The following is a 12,870-nucleotide window of genomic DNA, read 5'->3' as shown; positions in this document are numbered from 1 at the left end:
GCAGATTTTTTTCAACCAAATGCCAATCAAAAATACATTATTTTCTTGATGTGAAACCTATGTATATGGAGGACTGACTTTTAACATATGTGAGTTTGGCAGGGCCAACTGTGGGATTTCAGTAGTGCAGGTTTTGGTATGTGCAGGGGTCTTGGAACCAATCCCCTGTGTAGACTGAGGGACAACTGTAATTTTAAGGGCTGGGTTAAATAGGGGTTGAAAGATTGAAAAAGCCAAAAAGAGAAGATCAAGATAACACAGACCCCCGGTAACTTCGGTATGTAGCTACCAGGCCTTGGGCTGGGAAATCATATTTTGAAGTTATCAATATGTAGAGGATTGAAAAAGAGCATCAAAGTCTTTTTACCTGAGGTTTCTAAGGAGTGGATGCCACCCAGTTGGTACTGATACCTTGGAGCTTTGAGAAGAGGTCTTGCAAAGCTATGACTCAGACTTTGGGGAAAGCAGCACAGCCCTTATTGTGTCTATACCTCTGAGGAGGTCACAAAGAAGCTGATTCTGGAGGGACAAATGGAAGTACCAGCCAATGTCAGGGTAAAGAGCTGTCAACAGTGACAATGTCAGGAGCAGCAGATAAACAGCAAAGAGCAAGTTCTTCCTAGTTTCCTCCTGTCTTCCTGCTATACCCCTATTAGCAGAATCTAATAGGAAGACAGCTGACAATACAGAAATACAGTTTTTGGAATCCTACCTTCATCGTTAGAAAGTAGAACTTAGAAGGGCCTATCAGGATCTGAGAGACAATGGCATCTTAACTGGCACAGCCCACTCTTGTGGCTATTCAGCACCATCCTATCCTTTTACACGTATTTGGATTTTCATACAATGATTCCAGCCCTATGTTTTCACTTTACAAAATGAAATCATACTCAAATCGAATCCTTTCACAAAAAAAAGTGGAAATATAAAGTCTCCAGAGTCATTATTTCCCCTTCTGTATGGTACTCATAGTATTCATCTCTGGATGATCTTAATTATTTCTCTAATTCAGTCACTGTTTCATCTGAATATTCCATAACCTGAAAAAATGGTATTGCAGCTAATAGGCTTTCAAGTAATTCTCATAAAAAATATGTTTGCTAGGAACAGAAACATAATAACGAGGATGAAGATAATTTAAAATGATTCCAGAAATGCTTAGGATTTGCTTAGACATAGTGGGTAAAATAGGAGATGTTAAGAATGATGCTCAAGTTTGCTTTGGGCAACTGGTGATTGTTATTGCCATTAACTAAAACAGATAACACCAGAGGAGGAGTAAGTTTGGCAGGGAAAATGAACTCAACTTTTAAAATGATTTTTTAAATGTACTTTAAATTAACATGTAAAGTGGATTATTCAGTTTATAGTTATATGAAATGTGACCAATGCAAAAGGCTGTGTAACTACTGCGTTGAAGATATAAAATATTTCCATAACTTCCAAAATTCTCTCATTCTACTCTTTTGTAGTCAAATACTCCCTTTACTCCTAGCCCCTGAGCAAAAATTGATGTTTTTGTCCCTAGAGTTCTGCTTTTTCCACAGTGTCATGTAAATGGAATCATACACTTAATATAACTATTGTTAGTATACTGAAAGCCCAATATCAGGGTGAAGGGCTACTGATAGATTTACACTGACAGAAACAGCAGACAATAATTATTATAGAGTTATGCAATCATCACCACAATCCAGTTTTAGTACTTTATATCTCCTCAAAAAATTTTCTCAATCTCATTTGCATCAATTTCTTGTAGCACCCTGCAGCTCCAGACAACCACTGATTTGTCTTCTGTTTCCATAAATCAATCTCTTCTGAGCATTTCATATAAATAAAATTATACAATATAGGGTCTTTGCATCTGGCTTCTTTTACTTAGCATGTTTTTTTTGCAGATGAACCATGCTGTAAGATATATCAGAATTTTGTTTATTTTTATTGCTGAATAATATTCTATTATACGAATACAGAACATTTTGTTTATTTACCAGTTGATGGACATAGTGCTTATTTCTAGTTTTTGTCTACTATAAATAATACTGCTGCAAATATTCATTAACAAGTTTTTGCATGAACATATGTTTTTATTTCTTTGGGGTAGATTCTTAGGAGATTAATTATTGGGTTTCATGGCAAGCTTATACTTAACATTTTAAGAAAATGACAATTTTTTTTTTATGTGGTTGTAAAATTTACATTCCCATAAGAAAGGTATGAGAGTTTCTGTTTCTCCACACCTTGGCTGACATTTGGTGTTGTCATGTTTTGTTAAAGCCATTTTTGGTGCACAGTGTTACCACATTGTGGTCTTAATTTGCATTCTCATAATAATATTGAGCAACTTTCCATATCCTTATTTAGATCAGTATACGTTTTTTGATAATGTATCTCTTCAAATATTTTGTCCATTTTTGTTTGCTTTCTAATTTTGAGTTTCAGAGTTCATAATATATTTTGGATACAAGTTGTTTGTCAGATATATGATTTGCAAATATTTTCTCCAAGTCTAGCTTGTCTTTTTATTCTGTTACAGGTCACATGTTCAGATTAGAATCAGAAAAATACAGATTCTACACATATATTTCTAGATATATAGTTAAGTATTTTATTTCTTGAACGTTATTTTAAATGCTACTGCCTTCTGAAATTTTGAATTTCAATTGTTAATTTACACAAATTACAAATAGATTTAAATCTTGTATTTTGACCTTTTGTTTTCTGGCTAAACTTGGTTATTCGTTCTGGGAAATTTTTGTAGATTTATTTATTTTTTATTTATTTATTTTTTTTTACAGAGACAATCATGTTTTCTTAATAGACATGTCTTTTGTTTTTCTTGCCTGATTGCACTGGCTAGGACATGCAATGCAGTGTTGAATAGAAGCGTGCAAAACAGACTCACTAGTCTTTTTTTTATCTTAGATGGAAAACATTCTGTATTTTACCACTGAGTATCATGTTCACATGAGGTTTATTCATAGTAGTTATTTATCAAGTTAAGGAAGTTCCTTTCTATTCATACTAGGTGGAGAGGTGTTTGTTTGTTTAAATCAGAGATGGATGCTGGGTTTTGTTAAAAGCTTTTTCTAAATCTATTTATATAATTATGTGGTGAGCTACATTTTTTTGCATTTATAGGATAATTCTTATTTAGTCATTACGTATTATCCTTTTTTGTATATTACTCACATTCAATTTGTTAATATGGAACTTGAGTCTTCATTAGGGGGATTTTACCTATAAATTGAATTCCTATAATTGACACAGGACTATTCAGGTAAGGTTATCCTTTTTTTGAGTATGTCTTGATAGTCTGTGTCTTTCTTGAAACTTATTCATCTAGGTTGTCAAAATTTGTAGCAATAGAGTTGTTTATAGAACTATCTTATTATTGTTTTCATGTGTGAAGGATCTGTAGTAATAATCCCTTTTCATTCCTAATATAGGTAATTTGTATCTTCTCTCTTTTTTTCTTGGTCATTCTGGCTGGGAGTTCATCGAAGAACATTATCAAGAACAATCTTTAGGATTCATTGATTTTTTTTCCTATTGTTTTTCTGCAGTCAACTTAACTATTATCTGCTCTTATACTTATTACTTTCTAACTTTTTCTTCCTTTGGGTTCAATTGCTTTCTTTTCTCTAGTTTCATTATGTGGAGGCCTGGATTTATAATTTAAGAACCTTTTATTCCTTTCTATGATAAGTGTTTTAAAATAAGTGTTCCTTTCTATAAGTGTTTCTGTAACCATGCTACAAGTTTCCCTTAAAACATGACAGTCTACAAATTTTGATTCCTACTAGATTTGGTTATTGTGTCTTTAGTTTTATTTGGGAAAAATATTTTCTAACTTCCTGGGTCTTATGGGTTATTTAGATGTATGTGATTTTACATACATCTAATTACATGAATTACATACATATTAGATGTATGTAATTTCCAATATGTGTGTAGCTTCCAAATACATTTCTGTTATTAAATTCTAGTTTAACTCATTAGTCCCAAACCATAGTTTGTATGATTTTAATACTTTTAAATTTATATTAAGGCTTGTCTTATAGCTTATGCTATGATCAATCTTGGTGAATATTTTATGTACAATTGAAAGTGTTTTCACACTGGGGCCTATCAAAGGGTGGAGGGTAAGAAGAGGGAGAGGATTAGAAAAAACAACTAATGGGTACTAGGCTTAATACTTGGGTGATGAAATAATATGTACAACAAACCCCTATGACATAAGTTTACCTATATAACAAACTGGCACATGTACCCCTGAACTTAAAAGCTAAATTTAAAAAAATAACATAAAGAAAGTGTTTTTTCTTTCACTTATTTGGAATAGGTCTATGTATAAAACAATTAGGTTAATTAGGTTGATGTTTAGTTCTTCTATAATCTTGTTTATTTTTTGTTAACTTGATTGACTATGAAGAAAGAAATGGTGAAATCTTCATTTATAATTGTAGATTACCCACATTTAATTTCAGCTTCATCAGTTTTGCTTTATATCTCTTGAACTTCTCTATACAAACATTTAGTATTATGTCTTCTTGATGAATTTACCTCTGTCATTACGTAATCTCTGTCTGTATTCCTGATGATTTTCTTTGTTCTAAAATTTAATTTGTCTACTGCTGATATAGCTACTACAGACTTCTTTTGATTAATGTTTGCATAATTTTTTTCTTTTTTCTTTTTTAGCAAGTTAGGATTTTTATTTTATTTTACTTCAAGTTCTGGGGTACATGGGCAGAATGTGCAGGTTTGTTACATAGGTATACACGTGACATGGTGGTTTGCTGCACCCATTAACCCGTCATCTACATTAGGTATTTTTCCTAATGCTATCCCTCCCCTAGCCCCCCACCCCCTGACAGGCCCCGGTGTGATGTTCCCTTCTCATTGATCAATTCCCACTTATGAGTGAGAACATGTGGTGTTTGGTTTTCTGTTCTTGTGTTAATTTGCTGAGAATGATGGTTTACAGCCTTATCAATGTTCCTGCAAAGGACATGAACTCATCCTTTTTTATGGCTACATAGTATTCCATGGTGTATATATGCCACATTTGCTTTATCCAGTCTATCACTGATGGGCATTTGGGTTGGTTCCAAGTCTTTGCTATTGTGAACAGTGCTGCAATAAACATACATGTGCATGTGTCTTTATAGCAGAATGATTTATAATCCTTTCGGTATATATCCAGTAATGGGATTGCTGGGTCAAATGGTATTTCTAATTCTAGATCCTTAGGAATCACCACACTGTCTTCCACAGTGGTTGAACTAATTTACATTCCCAGCAACAGTGTAAAATCATTCCTATTTCTCCACATGCTCTCCAGCATCTGTTGTTTCCTGACCTTTTAATGACTGCCATTCTAACTGGCATGAGATGGTATCTCATTGTGGTTTTCATTTGCATTTCTCTAATGACCAGTGATGATGAGCTTTTTTTCATATGTTTGTTGGCTGCATGGATTCTTCTTTTGAGAAGTGTCTGTTTATAACCTTCACTCACTTTTTGATGGGTTTTTTTTGTTTTTTTCTTGTAAATTTGTTTAAATTCTTTGTGGATTCTGGATATTAGCCCCTTATCAGATGGATAGATTGCAAAATTTTTTTCCCATTCTGTAGGTTTCCTGTTCACTCTGACAACAGTTTCTTTTGCTGTACAGAAGCTCTTTAGTTTAATCAGATCCGATTTGTGAATTTTGGCTTTCGTTGCCATTGCTTTCGGTGTTTTAGTCATAAAGTCTTTTCCCATGCCTATGTCCTGAATGGTATTGCCTAGGTTTTCTTCTAGGGTTTTTATGATTTTTAGGTATTACGTTTAAGTCTTTAATCCATCTTGAGTTAATTTTCATATAAGGTATAAGGAAGGGATCCAGTTTCAGCTTTCTGCATATGGCTAGTCAGTATTCCCAACACCATTTATTAAATAGGGAATCCTTTCCTCATTGCTTGTTTTTGTCATTTTCATGCGTGTCCGTGTGAAGAGAACACCAAACAGGCTTTGTGTGAGCAACATGGCTGTTTATTTCACCTGGGTGCAGGCGGGCTGAGTCCGAAAAGAAAGTCAGAGAAGGGAGATAAGGGTGGGGCCGTTTTATAGGATTTGGGCAGGTAAAGGAAAATTACAGTCAAAGGGGGTTTGTTCTCTGGCGGGCAGGAGTGGGGGTCGCAAGGTACTCAGTGGGGGTGTTTTTGAGACAGGATGAGCCAGGAAAAGGACTTTCACAAGGTAATGTCATCAGTTAAGGCAAGGACCAGCCATTTACACTTCTTTTGTGGTGGAATGTCATCAGTTAAGGTGAGGCAGGGCATATTCACTTCTTTTGTGATTCTTCAGTTACTTCAGGCCATCTGGGCATATACCTGCAAGTCACAGGGGATGCGATGGCTTGGCTTGGGCTCAGAGGCCTGACATTCCTGCCTTCTTATATTAATAAGAAAAATAAAACAAAATAGTGTTGAAGTGTTGGGGCGGCGAAAATTTTTGGGGGGTGGTATGGAGAGAGAATGGGCGATGTTTCTCAGGGCTGCTTCAAGCGGGATTAGGGGCGGCGTGGGAACCTAGAGTGGGAGAGATTAAGCTGAAGGGAGGTCTTGTGGTAAGGGGTGATATTGTGGGGATGTTAGAAGAAACATTTGTCTTATAGAATGATTGGTGATGGCCTGGATACGGTTTTGGATGAATTGAGAAACTAAATGGAATAACAGAAGGAGAAAAACAGGTATAAAAGGTCTAAGAATTGGGACGACTCAGGATATCTGATTAGAGAGTGCTTAAGGAGATTCGGCATAGTCCTGCCAGCAAAGATTATTTATTTATTTCAAGAGTTAAGAGTGGCAGTTTGGGGATAGCACCAGGAGATATCAGCTGTGATGGCTTGGAAAAACAGTGTAAACTGGCAGTGTAAACAAGAGTAGGGCATGTATGAGTAGTTGAGAACGGTGAATAGGAGTATGACTAGACAGAAGATAGCAGGGAAGACAAGTTTTTTGGGGCACAGTCTAAGTTGGTCTGGTGTCTGGAATGAGACTGGGGCCTAATAAAAAGGAGCGTCTATATAGGAGCTTAAATGGGCTGTACCCTGTAGCATTCCGAGGACAGGCCTGAATTCTGAGAAGGGAAAGTGGTAAAACTATTGTCCAATCCTTTTTGGTGGCTGAGCTTGGTGAGGTGTGTTTTTAAAAGACCTTTAGTCCATTCTACTTTTCTTGAAGATGGAGGACCGTAAGGGATATAAAGGTTTCACTGAATACTAAGAGCCTGAAAAACTGCTTGGCTGATTTGACTAATAAAGGCTTGTCTGTTATCAGACTGTATTGAGGTGGGAAGGCCAAACTGAGGAATTATGTCTGACAGAAGGGACGAAATGACTGCAGTGGCCTTCTCAGACCCTGTAGGAAAAGCCTCTACCTATCCAGTGAAAGTATCTACCTAGACTAAGAGGTATTTTAGTTATCTGACTCAGGGCATGTTGAGTAAAGCTAATTTGCCAGTCCTGGGTGGGGCAAATCCTCAAGCTTGATGTGTAGGGAAGGGAGGGGGCCTGAATAATCCCTGAGGAGTATTAGAATAGCAGATGGAACACTGAGAAGTTATTTCCTTGAGGATAGATTTGCATGATGGGAAGGAAATGAGAGGTTCTAAGAGGCGGGCTGGCTTGTACTATAGTATAACCTGCCTTTGCTGGTGTGTGGCGATTAGGCCTGGTGGAACCGCCATCAATAAATCAAGCGTGATCAGGGTGAGGAACAGGAAAGAAGGAAATGTGGGGAAATGGGGTGAATGTCAGGTGGATCAGAGAGATACAGTCATGGGGGTCAGGTGTGGTTTCAGGAATAATGTGGGAGGCCGGATTGAAGTCTGGGCCAGGGACAACAGTAATTGTGGGAGACTCAACAAAGAGTGTGTACAGCTGAAGGAGCCAGGGAGCAGAAAGTATATGTGTCAGGTATGAGGAAGAAAATAGATTTTGGAAGTTATGAGAACTGTAGAGAGTGAGTTAAGCATAGTTTGTGATTTTGAGGGCCTCTAAAAGTATTAAAGCAGCAGCAGCCACTGCACGCAGACATGAGGGCTAGGCTAAAACAGTAAGGTCAAGTTGTTTGCACAGAAAGGCTACAGGGTGTGGTCCTGGCTCTTGTGTAAGAATTCTGACCGCGCTAACCACGCCTAGGAAGGAAAGGAGTTGTTTTGTAGAAGGTGCTTGGGTTTGAGAGCTCAGTCAGACACGATTGGCAGGGAGAGCACGTGTGTTTTATGAGCATTATGCTGAGATAGGTAACAGATGAGGAAGAAATTTGGGCTTGATTGAAGTAATGGGGGCTGTCTGTGAAGCTTTGCGGCAGTACAGCCTAGGTAATTTGCTGAGCTTGATGGGTGTCAGGGTCAGTCCAAGTGAAAGCGAAGAGAGGCTGGGATTAGGGATGCAGGGGAATAGTGAAAAAAGCATGTTTGAGATCTAGAACAGAATAATGGGTTGTAGAGGCAGGTATGGAAGATAGGAGAGTATATGGGTTTGGCACCACGGGGTGGATAGGCAAAACAATTTGGTTGATAAGGTGCAGATCCTGAACTAACTTGTAAGGCTTGTCTGGTTTTAGGACAGGTAAAATGGGGGAATTGTAAGGAGAGTTTATAGGCTTTAAAAGGCCATGCTGTAGCAGGCGAGTGATAACAGGCTTTAATCTTTTTAAAGCATGCTGCGGGATGGGATATTGGAGTTGGGTGGGGTAAGGGTGATTAGGTTTTAATGAGATGGTAAGGGGTGCATGGTCGGTTGCCAAGGAGGGAGTAGAGGTAACTTATACTTGTGGGTTAAGGTGGGGGGATACAAGAGGAGGACGCAAAGGAGGCTTTGGATTGGGAAGAAGGGCGGCAATGAGATATAGCTGTAGTCCAGGAATAGTCAGGGAAGCAGATAATTTAGTTAAAGTGTCTCAGCCTAATAAGGGAACTGGGCAGGTGGGGATAACTAAAAAGGAGTGCTTAAAAGAGTATTGTCTAAGTTGGCACCAGAGTTGGGGAGTTTTAAGAGGTTTAGAAGCCTGGCCGTCAATACCCACAACAGTTATGGAGGCAAGGGAAACAGGCCCTTGAAAAGAAGGTAATGTGGAGTGGGTAGCCTCCGTATTGATTAAGAAGGGGACGGGCTTACCGTCCACTGTGAGAGTTACCTGAAGCTCGGCGTCCGTGATGGTCTAGGGGGCTTCTGAGGCGATCGGGCAGTGTCAGTCTTAAGCTGCTAAGCCGAGTAGATCTGGGAAGGAGTCAGTCAGAGAGCCTTGGGCCAGAGTTCCAGGGGCTCTGGAGTGTCTGCCAGGTGAGTTGAACAGCCCGATTTTCAGTGGGGTCCCACACAGATGGGATGCGGCTTAGGAGGAATCCCGGGCTGCGGGCATTCCTTGGCCCAGTGGCCAGATTTCCGGCATGTGTAGCAAGCTCCTGGGGGAGGAGGTTCTGGAGGAACGCCTGGCTGCTGCGGTTCAGGCGTTTGGAAGTTCTTGTGTGCTGGAGATGTGGCTGGGGTTTGTCTCACAGTGGAGGCAAGGAATTGCAACTTTTTTCTGTTATTGTACACCTTGAAGGTGAGGTTAAGTCCTGTTGTGCGGTTTGAGGGCCAGATTCCAATTTTTGGAGTTTTATTTAATGTCGGGAGCAGATTGGGTAATAAAATGTATATTGAGAATAAGACGGCCTTTTGACCTTTTAGGGTCTAGGGCTGTAAAGCCTCTCAGGGTTGCTGCCAAACGAGCCATGAACTGGGCTGGATTTTTATATTTGATGAAAAAGAGCCTAAACGCTATCTGATTTGGGATAAAGAAAAAGGAGCATTAACCTTGACTATGCCTTTGGCTCCAGCCACCTTTTTAAGAGTAAATTGCTGGGCAGGTGGGGGAGGGCTAGTCACAGAACGAAACTGTAAGCCAGACCAGGTGTGAGGAGGGGAGGCGATAAAAAGATTATAGGGTGGAGAAGCGGAGGCTGAGGAAGAATTGGGACCTAGCTTGGCCTGGCAAGGAGGGGAGAGGTCAGATGGGTCTGTAGAAAAGGAAGATTAGAAAGACTGAGTGATGCTTGGGGTTGGGACTGAGGGGACAGGCGGGAGGGAAAGAAGGAAGATTTGGGACGAGTTGCACTGGGCACAGAGACTAGGAAGGGACTGATGTGTAAAAGAATGCCTGGATATCAGGCACCTCAGACCATTTGCCTATTTTACGACAAGAATTATTTAGATCTTGCAGGATGGAAAACTTCAAAGTGCCATTTTCTGGCTATTTGGAACTACTGTCAAGTTTGTATTGGGGTCAAGCGGCATTGCAGAAGAAAATAAGGCATTTAGGTTTTAGGTCAGATGTGAGTTGAAGTGGTTTTAGGTTTTTGAGAACACAGGCCAAGGGAGTAGAGGGAAGAATGGAGGGTGGAAGGTTGCCTATAGTGAAGGAAGCAAGCCTAGAGAAAAGAGAGAGTAGAGAAATGGAGGGAAGGGGTTCGGGGGTTCTTACCTTCCAGAAAAGTGGGAAAAGGGGTTGGGGTGCAGAGATAAGAGGTTGGGGCATGGAAATAAGGGATAGGGCACAGAAATAAGGGGTTGGGGCACGGAAATAAGGGGTCGGGGCATGGAAATAAGGGATTGGGGCACAGAGATACGAGGTTGGGGTGCAGAAATAAGGGACTGGGGGTTCTTTCCCCCTAGAAAAGCGGGACTTGCCACTAAGGGTGAAAGAGAAGGGGTTGAGGGGTACTTGCCCCTGCCCCAGGAAAGCAGGACTTGCCGCTAAGGGTGAAGGAGAAAAGGGTTGGGGGGTACTTGCCCCTGCCCCAGGAAAGCAGAGAAGGGGTAGAGAAAAGGAGAGAAGAGGTTGGGGTACTTGCCCCTTCCCCAGAAAAGCGGGACTTGCTGCTGAGGGTGAAGGACCAAGGTAGGCATCACTGCATGGTCTGACACCTTTGAAACATGGGTGAATAATCAGAGAGGTGTCCCTGCAATGATTAAACACCAAGGGAAGGCTGCCTTCCCAGTCTGTGACCAGCGCCGGAGTTTTGGGTCCACGGATAAAATGTGTCTCCTTTGTCTCTCCCAGAAAATGAAAGGAATTGAAATTAAGAGAAGGGAGAGATTGAAGAGTGGAAAGGAGAAAGTGGTTGAGGGACAGTGAGAGGTTGGAGAAGAGAGTAAGAAGAGGCTGCTTACCTGATTTAAAATTGGTGAGATGTTCATTGGGCTGGTCGGTCTGAGGACCTGAGGTCGTAGGTGGATCTTTCTCACGGAGCAAAGAGCAGGAGGACGGGGGATTGATCTCCCAAGGGAGGTCCCCCGATCCGAGTCACGGCACCAAATTTCATGTGCATCCGTGTGAAGAGACCACCAAACAGGCTTTGTGTGAGCAACATGGCTGTTTATTTCACCTGGGTGCAGGCGGGCTGAGTCTGAAAAGAGAGTCAGGGAAGGGAGATAAGAGTGGGGCCATTTTATAGGATTTGGGTAGGTAAAGGAAAATTACAGTCAAAGGGGGTTTGTTCTCTGGCGGGCAGGAGTGGGGGTCGCAAGATGCTCAGTGGGGGTGCTTTTTGAGCCAGGATGAGCCAGGAAAAGGACTTTCACAAGGTAATGTCATCAGTTAAGGCAAGGACCGGCCATTTACACTTCTTTTGTGGTGGAATCTCATCAGTTAAGGTGGGGCAGGGCATATTCACTTCTTTTGTGATTCTTCAGTTACTTCAGGCCATCTGGGCATATATATGCAAGTCACAGGAGATGCGATGGCTTAGCTTGGGCTCAGAGGCCTGACAGTCATGTTTGTCAAAGATCAGATGGTTGTAGATGTGTGGCAGTATTTCTGATGCCTCTGTTCTGTTCCATTGGTTTATATATCTGTTTTGGTACCAGTACCATGCTGTTTTTGTTACTGTAGCCTTGTAGTACAGTTTGAAGTCAGGTAGCGTGATGCTTCCAGCTTTGTTCTTCTTGTGTAGATTTTTATCTTTGATTTTTCTGTAGTATATTTAAAGTTTTTTTAAGATAATATGTCATTGGCTCTTCTTATTTTACACAGTCTAACTTTTTTTTGTCTTCTAATGAGTGCACTTAGACCATTTAATTTTAATGTAGTTATCAATGTGGTTATATTTTTTATCCACCATTTAATTATTTGTTTTAATTGTCTTCTCTCTTTTTGTTCCTTCTTTCACAATTTCCTATTATTTTTTGAATGGTTTTTAGAATTTTATTTTAACTTATCTACTTGCGTTTTGTCTATTTCTCTTTCTATTATTTTTAGTATATATACTAAAAATATATACATTTAGTATGTATTTAGTATATACTAAATATACTAAACAAAATATACTAAAAATATATACATTTAGTATATATTTAGTATATATACTAAAAATATATACATTTAGTATATATTTAGTATATATACTAAAAATATATACATTTAGTATATATTTAGTATATATACTAAAAATATATACATTTAGTATATATTTAGTATATATACTAAAAATATATACATTTAGTATATATTTAGTATATATACTAAAAATATATACATTTAGTATATATTTAGTATATATACTAAAAATATATACATTTAGTATATATTTAGTATATATACTAAAAATATATACATTTAGTATAAATACTAAAAATATATACATTTTAGACCTATATACATTGAAAACATCACCCCTGCAGTTGAAAACCCATGTGTAAGTTTTAACTCCTCAAGATCTGAACTACTAATAGCCTTATGTCGACTGGAAGCCTTACAGATAACATAAACTGTCAATTAGCTCATATTTTGTGTGCTATATGTTTTATTTACTGTATTCTTACAATACAGTAAG

At 39.1% G+C, this 12,870-nt stretch overlaps 2 annotated features.

The window, feature by feature from the left end:
- Nucleotides 6,024-6,571: an enhancer, noted in NCBI's record as "OCT4-NANOG-H3K27ac hESC enhancer chr6:115358194-115358741 (GRCh37/hg19 assembly coordinates)". NCBI's record gives its function as "activates a minimal SCP1, AML or CMV promoter by ChIP-STARR-seq in primed H9 embryonic stem cells {active_cell/tissue: H9 hESC(primed)}" and the evidence as "EXISTENCE:reporter gene assay evidence [ECO:0000049][PMID:30033119]".
- Nucleotides 11,403-11,953: an enhancer, noted in NCBI's record as "OCT4-NANOG-H3K27ac hESC enhancer chr6:115352812-115353362 (GRCh37/hg19 assembly coordinates)". NCBI's record gives its function as "activates a minimal SCP1, AML or CMV promoter by ChIP-STARR-seq in primed H9 embryonic stem cells {active_cell/tissue: H9 hESC(primed)}" and the evidence as "EXISTENCE:reporter gene assay evidence [ECO:0000049][PMID:30033119]".

Source organism: Homo sapiens, chromosome 6 (assembly GCF_000001405.40).
Source record: "Homo sapiens chromosome 6, GRCh38.p14 Primary Assembly".
NCBI classification, from domain to species: domain Eukaryota; kingdom Metazoa; phylum Chordata; class Mammalia; order Primates; family Hominidae; genus Homo; species Homo sapiens.
This window is presented reverse-complemented; position numbering and strand designations above follow the sequence as displayed.